At 48.5% G+C, this 14,188-nt stretch overlaps 1 protein-coding gene across 14 annotated transcripts in view, besides 1 other annotated feature; it reads right to left on the bottom strand.

Moving 5' to 3' along the window:
* DPP6 (dipeptidyl peptidase like 6) overlaps nucleotides 1-14,188 on the bottom strand; it is a 1,146,153-nt gene that overhangs the window by 303,861 nt on the left and 828,104 nt on the right. The window contains exon 6 of one of the 14 annotated variants that reach the window (NM_001290253.2): nucleotides 1,794-2,775. The exons of 12 other annotated variants lie outside the window; for them this stretch is intronic. In NM_001290253.2, the coding sequence (NP_001277182.1) occupies nucleotides 2,341-2,775 (435 nt within the window). In that variant the 3' untranslated portion in view covers nucleotides 1,794-2,340. Of the gene's footprint in view, nucleotides 1-1,793; nucleotides 3,260-14,188 lie in introns of those variants that run through there. One more of the 14 variants, NM_001364502.2, reaches the window with a different exon arrangement.
* Nucleotides 5,491-6,074: an enhancer, noted in NCBI's record as "H3K4me1 hESC enhancer chr7:154376061-154376644 (GRCh37/hg19 assembly coordinates)". NCBI's record gives its function as "activates a minimal SCP1, AML or CMV promoter by ChIP-STARR-seq in primed H9 embryonic stem cells {active_cell/tissue: H9 hESC(primed)}" and the evidence as "EXISTENCE:reporter gene assay evidence [ECO:0000049][PMID:30033119]".

The raw sequence follows: 14,188 nt of genomic DNA, 5'->3' as shown, positions 1-14,188 counted from the left end.
TACAATACTGAGAGGTTCTAAAAAGACACTAGAAATTATGTGTAAGGCTGTAGGAGATGTAAAAGCATAAAAAAATAAGTTTCAGAAGACCAGGTTGTAATTTTTGAATAATAAAAAATAGATTTCGATGTACAGGTTGGTTTTGCATCATCTCTACCCCAAGGTGCTTTCTTGGGATTGAAACGGCTAGAGATGCTCCCCTGGGCCATTCTGCCAAACAAGTGACCATCCCTGCTATCACTGCAGGGTCATCTGCCTTGCTTTGTACATCTTATTATAATAAACTAGTGGTACCCGAGAGCAAATCGGTTTGTGTTTTTCCCAACTGGGAAACAGGTGGGGATGTGGTTATTAAAGAAAATACGACCTTGCTTGGTCCTATCCTCTGCATCCCCTCTTCCCATCCACAGTCATAAAACCAAAAACCTCAGCTTATAAAGAAGACAAGAGGATTAGCTAGGATGAGGTTTATGTGAAGAATTAAAATCACATATTCATTCACTAATTTACTCAATCGATTACTTCCGTCATTACTTCAGATATCTAATGAGGTGAATGAAGGGTGACCATGCTGTTACGAAGTCCGGAGACAGAAAGGAGTCCAGAGGCATGATCTGAAACACTTGTTCGGCTGGGCCAAAGAAGGCTAAAGATGTGGATAGGAGAGCTGTCTGCAAATATCTGAAGGTCGTTAAATATTCAGCATTGCTTTAGAACTGTACTGCCCAATAGGGTAGCCACTAGCTACATATGGCCTATGTAATTTTAAGTTGATTACAATTAAAGAAAACTACAAATTGAGTTCCTTTGTCAGACCAGCCACATTCCCCATGCTCAAGAGCCACGTGTGGGTAATGCCACCATCTTGGCCAGTGCAACTGTAGACCATTTCCGTCACTGCAGAAAGCGCAGTGGACACTGCCGCATAAAAGGTGGAATGAGATTCAGCAGATGGGAAGTTTTAAAAAGCAGACTTAAATTAGCTGATGAAGAACTTTGCAAAAGCCAGAACTGCCCAGCCTGGGAAGAAAGTAAGTGGTCTACAAGGATGAATTCTGTGTCACCAGGACAAAGTCACGAGAGCAAGGAACACTTGCTCCTGAGATGGAGTGATAGATGGTGACTAGGTACATGTCAATATCCCTTCAATCCCTGAATTTTTTCAAACAAAATTCTCTGTTACTGTGAACCAAAGATTATGTTAAAATCAGCACATGAAAAAGCGTACATTCATGCTGAGAAAGGTTGAGGAGGGCAGCGTTAGGAGGCACCTGCTCAAATGGTATTGAATTAGTATGCCTCACAAGCATACTTGTGCAGGGTGTGATCAGGTTTCCAAATGATATTTCAAACAGGAACAGAAGCTGTAAGTACACCCACTCAACTACACCTCTCAATGAAATCACAAGATAAAAATTAAGCAAATGCAGCCAACAAACCTAGGAACAAATACTCAGGTGATGGCTCAGGGAAAGATGGGGGTAAATTAATTCACATGGGCACAGTTTTTAGCATCCAGATTCTGTTTTTTCACTGATCAATGGCCTTGAAAGAATAGTCTAAACTGTCACAGTTTAATAAGCCTCCTGCTCATTAATAGAGAAAATGTTTACCCACTAAGCTAGCAGGTAACTGCATATCAGAATTCACAGGACAATAAGAGTGATTACAAGCTTCAGACACATGGAGAAAGACCACAAGATTATTTTAAAATTACAATGAAATTTTGACTTAATTAATAAAACCTTTTTTTAGAAATAAATAAATTATTAATTCAGTGAGGCCCATAGGTATTTGGTTTCCAGGGAGAATCTACTTCTTTTATTTAGCTGAACATTTTTAAAACTTCCAGAGACTGAGGTAGACAGTTAAGTATAACCTGTTGGAGGAAGTCCTAGAATAAATCATAAGCTAACAAAAAAGGCAAGAAAAGTCTCAGTAACGAGGAATCCAGGATAAGAATTACTTGTCACTGTATGAGCCAGGAAAATAATGTAATTGGAGGCTCCTGGAGACCTCAAGTGTATATGATATTCTGAAGAAGACACAGTCGGCCAACATCACATTGTCACTCAGAGGAATCATGAGGGAATCCAGGAGAGCCAGTCTCCTTCCCATGATTATCAGTTCAGTATTCACGAGGGTCCATTGCTGCATCTCTGAGAACAGGCCATTTGAACCAGTGGAGGGTCCCTCCCTCCCTCCTCTGGGACACTCTGCGGGCACCCAGTGACCAGGGATAGGATGGGGAAGGCAGTATTTCTTGGGCCTGATGACAGCGTGTCTCTCTCCACCAGTGTTGAAGGAACAAGCCTGTGCTGGCAGCAGAGGCTGCAAGGCTCACTCGGTTGCTCTCTGGCCCGAAATCTGCCTGTAGCTGCTGTGCATTATCCCCGGGGTGAGCAGATGCGATGCCTCACACCTGCCACACTCGTATGACAATGGACAGTGCTGCCTGAGGGCTGCAGGTGCATGGCTGCGAAGCCTGGTGCCATTGGCAGTCCTGCCTCCTGGGACTCTCCTGCAATCCTCCAGCCAGGGTCTCCATGGAATATCTGAAACAGGTCCCCCTTGTACATGGCAAGCTGGCAATGCTGTGCTGTATCCATTGACTGCCGAGACATAGTCACGCAGGCAGTGAAGAGGAAGAGACATGGTGATGTAATGAAGAAAACAGCCCTGGTGACAAGCTGGGCTACAGGCTTGACTTACTGCTAATGAGTCACATGATTTTGAATGAGGCAATGTCAACTTCCTGGACTTCACTTTCTTCATCTGTAAAGTGGGAGATGGGCAGAATCATTTTAGAAAGCTCAATTCCATTTCTATGGTCCCAGGATGCTATTTTGGGGCATGGGAAGTTGGGGATCGAGAAACAAAAATCAATGGGCAATGTTCACATTGGGTCTTCAAGCAGAGGTACAATATTTTGCATGAAGCTGTGTCTTGCTCAGAACCATGCTTAGCTGCAGGCTGTGTGGGATGCACAGGAGGGAAGGACAGGTGGAAAGCGGCAGCATTGGTCCTGGCAAGAGGAGAGAAGAGTCCAGATCAAGGCAAAGGCAGTGGGAATGGTTGGGGGGAGGAATAAGGTTCTAAGTCTCCAGGCAGATCACCCAATTTAGCTCAAGTCAGGATGAGAGCAGCCACCCAAGGCATTGGTCAGACAAAAGGAGTGAGCTGATAGCCTTTGACCTCTGGTGAGAGTCCACCGAAGTGCAGCAGGACTGAGTGCAGAGCTGACATGCGTTCACTGACCCTGCAGGGATTAATAGCGAAGCTTTGATAAATACAACAAGAAGCACCTCTCTGCTTGTCAGACTCAAGATCCTCAACTCTCTTGCGCATCCTTTTGTGAAGGAAGAAAGCCTGTGACTTAGCAAGAATTGATGAAATCATTTCCCATTTTTCCCTTGCTTGTTTCTATGGAATTCATTTGTTCTTTCATTTATCCAACGAATATTTGCTGATCATTTATGACCTTCCAGGTGCAAAGAGAAGTAAGGAGCAGTTCCTGCTCATGAGGGGCTCACAGCTCCTTGATGAGGGACACAGCCCTGTAAGCAATGATTGTGTTTGATGCCTGGGGTATCTGGGGAGGTGCTCACTCAGACTGAAGTTAAATTTCTGGATGGAAGAGATCACCAGCTGGACAAGGTAGAGAAGGAGATCCAGGTGGAGGAAACAGCACGAGCAAAGCCACTCAGGACTCGTTTAGTGGCAAGTAAGGGAAAACCCGATGGGCAGACGCTTAGACAAATCAGGCTAATTTTTCTGGCTTAGCTAATCTAGAGAACAGGGATCGAGAGCAACACATGGATGGTGCCATCAGGGGCTGGGCTCCGTGTCCCACCGTGACAGCCTGGGCAGCACAGCTTCATGAAGGCAAGGACAGTGGGGAAGAGAAAGGCCAACTCTGTATTCCTCTTGCAAGAGAGCCAAAGACTCCCACAGGCCCTCCAGCAAATTTCTCCCTCATCTATGGGGCCAAAACCATAACCCGTGGCTCCTTAACCATGAGATTGGACAAGCGCGTTTAGTGGGCATAAGGGCAGGCGATGGGAGCTGAGGCCGGCAGGTAGGAAATGGCCATCCTGGGAAAGCTCCTCTGTCTCAAGGCAATAAGTTCAACAGAACAATTTTTTTTAAGGTCAAATAATCCTCCTGCCTCAGCCTCCTAAAGTGCTGAGATTATGGGCATGAATCACTGTGCCCGGTCTCAACAAGACACCTCACCTGGTCACGTGGCATCAGCCTCTACTCTGGAACCATTCAGCTCCCTCCAAGACGGTGGCAACGAGGGTCAACTCCAGACACTCAGCCCCACCTTGGCCTGCCTGCTTGCCCCTCCACTGCATATACTGTGCTCCAGGTGGACCATCTATCATCCCTCTCCTGCCCTCACTGTGCCATCCCACCTCAAGCCTGCACTTAGGGGGTTCTTTCATCTGGAGTGCCTTCCCCTGCCTTCCTCTCCTTTCTCCCATGCTCATGACTGACTTTTTCACTTTCAAGTCCCCAGTGCCCTGCCTCCAGCTTCCTGTAGGCTCCCGCCCCAAAGCCCCCTCCTTCAGAATTACAGTCGGCCCTGAGTATTGTGAGATCTGTATCCACAAATTCAACCACCAAGGATCAAAAAGATTCGGGAAGAAAGAAAAGGATGGGTGCATCTGTACTGAACATGTGCAGATTTTTTCTTGTCATTATTTCCTAAGCAATACAGTAGAACAACTTTTTACATAGCATTTACATTGTATTTGATTCTACAAGTAACCTAGAGATGATTTCAAGTACACGGAAGGATGTGTGTAGGTTATAGGGAAATACTACACTATTTTACCTAAGGCGCTTGAGCTTCTGTGGAGTTTGGTACCCACGGGGGTTCTGGTAACCACTCCCCAGGGGTGCTGAGGGACAACCGCAGTGCTCAGAGGCTTCAGGCCAGGACACTGCTCACTCAGCCTGTCTTTCTTGATCCTCGCAAGTCATTCTTCTCTGTCTCATCAGACTTTCTAAGGGTGGGCACTTTGATCCTGTACAGAGGGGATGCAGTAATGAAAGTCTGTTGGGTTTTTGACATTGAGGGTAAGAACTCAGTAAGCACATCTTCCATAGTCTATCCTAGTATTACATATTTCACCAAAACAGCAAAAACGTTTTTAGAGCAAAATTACCCTAAAGATGAAGACTATGCGGGCATTAAAATGCCTTAGAGGCCTAAAGTTTTCTCCACTTTGAAGCTAGTCTTTATATACTGCTTGATGCCATTTATATGACCTTCTAGAAAAGGCTAAACTACAAGACTGTAGACAGGTCTGTGGCTGCCAGGGACTAGGGGTGGAGGGAGGGCTTGCCCTGAAGGAAGCAGAGCAGGGGGAGTTTTTTGGGGTGATGGGGCTGTTCCATATCCCAATTTGTGGTGATGGTTACAAAAGTCTATCCAGGTCTTAAAGCTCATAGAATTGCACAACAAAAACTAGCTATACATATTTTTAAAAAGAAAAAGTTAAATTGTATATGTTATATAAAGATACGCTTTTAAATTGAAATCAGGAAGACATTTAAAATGAGAGGCCGATGAATAGCACAGGATCGTCCACTAGAGGCAGGCTTTGTGCATGCTTTCTGAGCTGAGTAATCGTAGCGACTGGCTGCAAAGCAGGTTTAAATATTTATAACAATAAAGCCCTCCTTAGTATGAAAGTCTCTGGGAAATATTTCAACAGAACAGACCTCTTACATGCACAGCTTAACAGAAGTGCATTTAAGAAGGTAAAATCCTGGAAGCTGCAGCTGCTCATTGCCAGGATGGGCGTCCCGAGCGACGTGGCAAACACTCCTTTCACATAAACACTCACAGCCTGGGAGCGGCCCTGAAACCGCATGGGGGTGGGGGACGGTCCATTTTGCAATGGGTCGGATATTTCTCGAGGCTCTATTGTGGATCAGCCATGTCCCAAGCCACCTTTAAGCATCTCAAAGTCCCTTGGAGTGCGGGGACTCATAGGCAGGAAATCGGAAAACCGTCAGCAGTGCTGTGGTCCCCGTGGGTGTGCACGGGTATGGGAGCCCACTCCTGTGGAGTCCAAGGCCTGCTGCTGAAGAGGCTGGAAGGGCGTGGGAGAACTGTGAGGTCAGTGGAGGAGGCAGGTGCTCCCAGCAGAGGGAACAGCGCCTGCAAAGGCCCAGAGGTGAGAGGGAAGGAGCAGGTGGGACAGCAAGGGGGTTAGGGAAGAGGTGCAGATTGGGAATGAGTTACCTGATTGGCACTGAGAAAGGTCACCCTGAAGGCAGCGTGGCCAGCACAGATTGAAGAAGTGTGGGGCGGGGAGGCTGAGGCAAAGAGGCCCTGGAGGCAGAGGTGGTTTTTTAGATAACAGGTAAGGTGGGCTGAACTGGGCAGTGGCAATGGGGAAGTGGAAGGGACATATCCCAAAGGCAGGGGGATGGCGATGCTGCCTGGGCCAGGGAGACAGAAGGTCTCTAGCCAGGGTCCTGGTAAGGAGGGGACAATGGTGTTTTTCCTAAAGTGCTGATGTTGCAGGCAGGACGTGGGGCCAACGTGGGATTAAACGGATGAGATCAGTTGCACACACTGTGTCTGAGGGCCCTCTACGTTCCCCGGAGACAGCAGCACACAGGTCTGACACCCGAGTCAGAGGTCCAGAACAGAGATGTGATGCGGGAGCCTTGTTGTTGAGGTTCATGTGTCTCAGCAGTGTGCGCACGAATCATATGCAGATCTCCTCCACGCGAGGCTTCTGACTGATCAGGGTGTGGGCTGGGTCCCGAGTCAGTGTTTCTAACAGGCTTCCTGGGGAGGCTTCTGCCACCACTCAGTGTATCGCGTTTTGGGTGGCAGCAGCCGATGCAGTAGTTGCCGTAGTAGGTTAAGTTGCCCAGGGTGAGTGCGCAAGAGAAGAGAAGATGACCTTGGGTGGGACTGGGAAATCCAATCAAGTCTGAGCACCTGAGGACCTCCTAAGTGGCCAGGAGGCAGCCAGAGGGCAGCCAGGGCCTGTGGAACCAAGGACTGAGGAAGAGGGAGGGGTGAGCGGCCTCAAATTCTGCCACAGGAGGCCTGAGGAGATTGGCACATAGACCGAATGTTTGTGTCCACCCAAAATTACACAAGAGGTGAGCCGTCACCAGAAACCGACCTGCTGGCACCTTGACCTTGTACTTCCAGCCTCCAGAACTCTGAGATACACACGTCTGTTGTTTAAGCTGCCCAGTCTGTGGTATTTTGCCATGGCAGCCCAGGCAGCCTAAAACAGGCACCAGTGAATTCCAGGGCGAGAAGACTGCTGGTAAGATGGGTGAGAGTTTTGCTGTGTGGTGGGGGCCAAGTACAGTTACCAGTGGGCTCAGGGGCAGCAGAGCCCCCATCAAGAGCAGGTGTTTGCAGAGAGGAATACCTGGAACCACAGCCCTCCATCCCTGGCACTGCAGAAACCTTGCAATCTCCCAAAGCCCGTCTCCTAATGGATAACATGGGGAAGACACTCATACCTTCCCCCGGGGGTATAACATGGGGAAGACACTCATACTGTTCCCCAGGGGCTGGGTGGCTGAGCCCTGAGCACTCATTCCACTCTGTGGGAGACACACGGAAGAGTGAGTGGGGAGGGGACAGAGAGGTGAGTGCAGCTGCTTCTTTCTTTAGTCATTTGACTGTGAAGGGAAGAACCAGAGGAGGACATGGGTATGGGTTGAGAGAGAGAGAACTTTTTTGTCTTTGCTTTATTTTGCGGTGGGAGAGATCTGAGCAACCTGAAATGCTTATGGTCCAGTGGCAGCTAAGATGAGAAGGTGAAGTGGCAGAAGCCAGGAAACCTTGACATCTGAAGCCCAGCTGAGAAGCTTAGGAAACAGGAGGAGGAGGAAGGGACCCTGTGGGAAGCAGGCGAGGTGAGGGGCTTCCTCCCTCCTCTGTCCACTCAGCTCGGCCATCTCAGCTTCCCGTTCTCTAGTTCCACTGTCCAAGGAGGAGAACCAAAGCAGCATTCTGTCCTCTTCTACAAACCCAATGGGTCAGATAAATGGAGCCCATCACAAGATTCTTGGAAACTAACTTATTTCTGTCCCTATATGTTCTTTGTTCACAGAAATGTTGTAAACAAATAATTATCCTCAGGACATGCCCGTGGCTAACCAGCACAATTCCTCATCTCCAGAAACACCCCTTCAGCTGACTTTCTGTTTCCAGGGTTTTGCCAGGATCACTACATCTGCACTCAATGAAACCTTTGATTACCAAAGCAAGCACTCAGACTGTTTCCACCAGGACGAGGAGTGCAGGTGGTGGCTGGTCCCTTTGGGAAGTAGCAGAATATGTCTTTAAATATGTATTTGCTCACAGTGAGCAGGGCACCGAGAGGGCAGCTGCCCTTGAGGAAAAGGAGGCTGTGGTAGGCACCCGGGTCTACTCCAGTTATGCCAAGGGTGGCCCAGGACAGGGGGCCTAAGGCTGCCTCTGGGTGACATGTGGGGATGCAGGGACAATAGTCAAAAATCCTGGTTTCTAGCAGCAGGAGAAGGCAGGTGGAAGGAGAATGGGGCCTTTTCGGTAACCCCGGGACATTCCGGGGATATGAGAGAGTCTGAAATGAGATGCTGCTGATGGCCGCGCACAATACACAAGCCAACCTTCCCACTCCAGGAGCGATTATTCTGCTGTCTCAGGCCAGAAGTCCCTGCACCTGCAGGGGACACTGTTGTTTTCTTTGCTGCATTAGACATGACTGCAGAGAAGATCTGCCTGTTTCAAAAGGGCCTGAAAGGCTCCAGAAGTTCTTTGTTGTCAACTCAAGTTGGATCTAATAAGCTCTCATCCCCCAGGTCAGATCATGTGGACAGGGTTGAGAATCACAGGGCACCCCAGCTCCCTGGGTCCTCCTTGCTTCTCCTCCTGTGAAACCCGTGTTCTCCTCCTTTCCCTGTTCTGAAGCTGCTGAGGTGCCAGGGCAGTCACAGTTGCATCAGGGTGTGTGGGAGGAAGTGGGGGAGGACCATGGCAGGCAGGGTTCCCTGGCCCTTCCAGGCTCTTTACTCTTCTGTCCCCTTCTTCCTGTCCCCTCTGTCTCCTTTTCCCCACACAAATCTCCTCTGCCAGTCCGTTCCATCTCTTCACGGCCCCTTCTCCCTCCACCTTCCCCAAGTGCACGATCAAACAACTAACCTCTGCCTTCTTAGCTCTTTCTCCTGCTACCCTCGCTTGTATCCGCGGCTCTTTGTCATGCTCTTTTCTGCAGAGTCCCTTATTCCTGCTCTGCAATTCAGCGGACACAGGTTTCCAGTTCCTTTGCTTCCCTAACCCCTGCCCTGGCCAACCTGGGCTCTTATATACTTAAAAAACTTCCAAGAAATGAATGCAGGGCAAGCAGAAAAAACAGTCTGGGAGCGGAGGGAACAGAGGCTGTTTCTAAATTTGGATCTGAGGTCACATTAGGAAGGTGGCCGCAATAGGCACTGGGAAGGCTTCTGTCAGCAGAAGGGACCCGTGTTAAATTTTTATGTTGACTTTTCTCTCCTTTTTGCTGCTCTTTCTTCTGCCTTCTTTTGATACCTGAGCACTTTCAGCTCCTCGCTGATGCTCGCTGCAGGTGTTTCCCATGGCGGCCTCTGTTCCTCTGCAGTGATCGCACCGGGAAGGTTCTCCCCATTCCTCTCTTCTTCACCCCGGATCCTCCTCTCCTTCCAGGCTTTCTTCTCCGTCGGCCTTCCCTGACTCAAGCCTCTTGTCCTCTCACGTCTTTGGACAACTACAGCTCACACACATTTTTGGGACCATGGGCCTCAGCTCGTGTTGAATGTCAGTTTCTGACCCTGACATCATCTACACCACATGAAGACTCACGGGGGCAGACTGACTCCCTTGGACCCCTCAGGCTCTAACGGCAGCGCTGGAGGGAGGAAAGCAGGCTGCAAGAAGCCATTATAGAGCAGGTGAGGGGCAGTCTCAGGCCACGTCTTTGTCTGTTGGAATTACTAACAAGTGAGCAACGTTCCATTCATCATTCACAAAGACGTGGATGTATCACAAGGAAGGGAGTTATGCCCGAGTGCACTGCCTCAAGACTTCTTAAGAGAGAAAAATTTGTCAATGGTCAAAGTTAAGGAGGTAGGGAGGAAATATACTAAGAGCAATGAATGTGTGTGTGTGTTAATGTGTGTGTGCATGTGTGTGTGTATAAGGGGGAGGGAGAGTATGTGTGTGTGTGTAAGGGGGAGGGAGAGTATGTGTGCATGTGTGTGTGTGTGTGTGTGTGTGTAAGGGGGAGAGAGAGGCAGATCGTCAGACATACCCACTTGATTTTGGAGTCTTACTGTTATTCACCGCTACATCCTATCCCCTCCGACGCGCGGGAAACTCAGCCTGCCCAGAAACCAAGGGTGCTGCTAATTTGGGAGATGTGGTGTCTGATTATGGGGCTCATTCCGGGCAAAGTGCTCTCTCTCTCTCTTCTGTGCTCTCTCTTTTAAAGATTTTGTTCCAGGGTGTGCACGGAGGTTAGCCTACTTTTGCCCCAAGTATCCCTAAGGTCACATGGATAACTTGCCCTCCTTACCGTGTCTCTGCCTGGCTCTTCTCCCATCAATGCACATGGGGGAGTTCCCACAGTTCAGAAACCATCCAGAGGGAATGACACGTAATTACCTGTGAGGACACAGGTACCTGCCAGTCCATCTCCCTGCTGCCCATCTGCCTCTGTTCCTCTCTGTCACTCCTGCACTTTGGGCCCCCCCATGGGGGGCAGAAGAGGACATGGCTGGCATTTGACTCATGACAACTCTAACCCTAACTCAAGGTGCAAGCTTGCCAATGGCAGGCCCTTACCTGGCTCTAAGAAAAACAATTAGTTCATTCAGGGCAGGGGGTGAGGTTAAAACTGATCATTGTAATATTTTGTAACTTAAAAAGTGGTTGATTTCACTAATTCTTATTTCTAATAAATCATTTAATCAGAGCTAGATACCTACCGAATCTCCTCATGAATTTTCGTACTTGCATATTTCTTCATTCCAAGAGTAAGAAAACATAAGATTTTTCTTTTTCTTTTCTTTTTTATTTTGAGACGGAGTTTTGCTCTTGTTGCCCAGGCGGTAGTGCAGTGGCACAATCTCAGCTCACTGCCACCTCTGCCTCCCGGGTTCAAGCGATTCTCCTGTCTCGGTCTCCTGAGTAGCTGTGATTATAGGCGCCCACCACCATGCCTGGCTAATTTTTGTATTTTTAGTAGAGATGGGGTTTCGCCATGTTGGCCAGGCTGGTCTCGAACTCCTGACCTCAGGTGATCTGCCCACCTTGGCCTCCCAAAGTGCTGGGATTACAGGCATGAGCCACTGCACCTGGCAGATTTTTCTTCTTTGTATAATTGGTTATCTCTGGCAGCCAGAAAGAATTCAGAGCCTCTTGAAGCTCTGCACGTGTTGCTCAGGTGGAGAGCTAGATTATGGAGTGATGCCTAGCCACTGTTACGCTCCTTCTACTTAAAAGAATGGCTATTTTTCCAGTTTATGATTTCTGAATTATACAGCAGATTGCAGTGCCATTGGAAGAATAACCCTGCATGTTCCTCCTCCCCTTCATCTCCCACTTTTAGTGAGAAAGTACTTACTACTTACTCCCTTTGTGCACACATATGCACACCTACCCTCACGGACAGGCACACACACTCAAGAGAAATCATACAAACCCAGACACTCTGGTGTCTGTTAAATTGGCACCACCGTCCACTAGAGRCAAGTCACTGAGAGACCCAAGGCGGCACCCAATTTGGGAACTGTTCAAGCAACTCACCACTTGSRCTCATTAATTTCTACAGATTCCAAAACTGTGGTTATGGACTTGGCCCAAAGCACAGTCACAGCTGATGCCTCACCAAAGCCTGCCAAGCCCGAATAGCCCCTGCCAAGCCCGAATAGCCCCTGCTTACTCTTGCACGCAGCCTGCCAGGACGGTACCCAAGGTTCTCTCAATGCTCAAACTTCCATCTATCATAAACTCTCAAGACTAAAGCAACCTGATACAGTGGGAAAAAGAACATTAGAAAATGAAAACCTATTGTTTGTGAAAACTACAAAATTCCCAGGCACTTGCTATGCTGTGCATGGAGAGCGTCGCCAGGCTCGGCAATGATGAGTTGCCTTACTGTGAAAAACACCAAGAGAGAAGCGGGAACACCATAAACTTTTGACAATGACATTCTGGAAAGTCTATTTGGCATCATAAAAACAATAATTTTAGTTGAGCAGAAGACAAGCAAAAGCATGTCCTAACCTGTTTCAAGAAATGGTTTTCTAATTTTAACCCTGTGCTAAAAGGGCAATGCGTGTGATATTACTGGTAATGCTATGGCTGGCATCTTAAGTTAACATGTTGTGAAATTATCTTCTCCACAGCAGTTGGAGCCCTAAATCACAAATGGAATTGGTCGTAACACACAACAATGATTAATCTGTACAGTTTGTCGTAGTTTAAAAATGCTGTAACCATCAAGTAGAGATAATGATCCACACTAAAACTCTCTATGCCTTAATTGTTGTTCAGAAGGCCTGAGTAACTGGGTCTATATTAATTGCTTTTGAGTCTCTGAAAGTAATTGCCACTAATGAGCTACGATAATGGCCAGCTACGTCGGAATTGAAGAACCAGTCCTTCCAGAAGTACTTGAGTCATTCTCCCCTCACTACATTACAATGATGGCCATTCCTAATGAAAGCAATCGAGTGTTCTCTATCTCACATCTCACTCAGCAAACCCACTCTCTCTTCATTTACATTTCTTCACTTCTTTTCTTACCAATTACAGGCATGTCACTGGTTCATGGAGAAGAGTCAGATCCCCTTGGCAAGCTGGTGGGTGGTCTTCAGAACTTATTATTACTACATTATCACTGCAGGAGGCCAAGCAACAGTGCTCTTCACAGACACCCCACACGGCTTTGGAGGACCTAATCCTTGACCTGCCCCTGGCTGTCTAAACTTCCACGGTGTTCCCTGAAACATCTGCCCTTTGATCAGCCAGCTGCTCCTGCACCAGCAGTCTCTCCTGGAGTTTGTCCCCTTCCAGCTCCCACCTGCACAGGCCTGGCTCTCAGGGGTCTCGGCTTCCTCTCTTCCATGCAGGCTCTTTCTAATCCCACCCTCCCATGTTCTAAACGCTGCAAGATGGACAGGGGGGTCCTTCCCCACGACCCTCCCCGAATCTTTCCTCCTCCTCCTCCTGTGAGTCCCTGGGATCTCTGAGGCTCTCTGTCCCCCTCCTAAAGCACCACTGAGTGTCTTCCAGGTCATCCTCCCCCAAACTACGCCTTGTTCAAACCTGTCAGCCCTTGACCCGTCCTTCATATTTTCACTTCTCCTATGAATCCCATCATCACAGGAACCTAGCTGCACTTACCTTCTGATATCCCCACTCTACCCTTCCACTGCCTTTGCACAACCACCACCTTGGACTTCTGACCCAACTCAACACTGCTAATCCATCAACACCACCATTTTCTACCTCTGGCTCCTCTTGGCTTCACTCTTCCCAGACCCGGTGTTTCTGAGGCCTGTGGCAATCACCACTCCTCTGAAAATACCTGATCTCTCTTACTTGCCAAATTCCTAGCCCCAGGGGACACCTACCAGGGTCTCCGTGCAGGTCGTGGGTGCTGAATACTCAGGGGAGATAGTGAGCAGCCTCCTCCCCCAAGAGCCTGGTATTTCCCGCGCATCCATCCACAGGGGCTGTGCCCGGCCTGCTGAGACCGCTCTTGCATTCTGTCTCCAGATCACACTCCCTCAAACTGGCCCACTCCTCCACCATCACTCTCAACAAGTGACCGTATCTCAAAATTTGGGGGGAATAATAAAATAATGCATTGAAAGGAACTCAGTGATTCTTTCACTAGGCCTAGAAACAAAGCTACCTACATTTTCAGCTATTTCCTCCCTTTCTACTACAAAAGGCATGTGTGTTTCCCTATAGGTCTGAATGTTCTAGGGGGAGAAGGCACCATGAGTTCAAAGGCCCTGAATTTGGAAGGGACTCAGGAGCACTGAGTTACACAGAAAGGTCATCGTGGTTGGGCAGAGTGTGGAGTGTGGAGTGTGGGGTCAGGTCTCGTGGCCTCGGGCCTCTGCAGGGAGTGAGCGTCCATCACTATTATGCAGCGGTGGACGCAGACGGAGATGCGCC

This window comes from Homo sapiens, chromosome 7, assembly GCF_000001405.40.
Source record: "Homo sapiens chromosome 7, GRCh38.p14 Primary Assembly".
Taxonomy (NCBI): Eukaryota; Metazoa; Chordata; class Mammalia; order Primates; family Hominidae; genus Homo; species Homo sapiens.
Note: the sequence above shows the minus strand (reverse complement) of the source record. Positions and strands in the feature narration are given on the sequence as shown.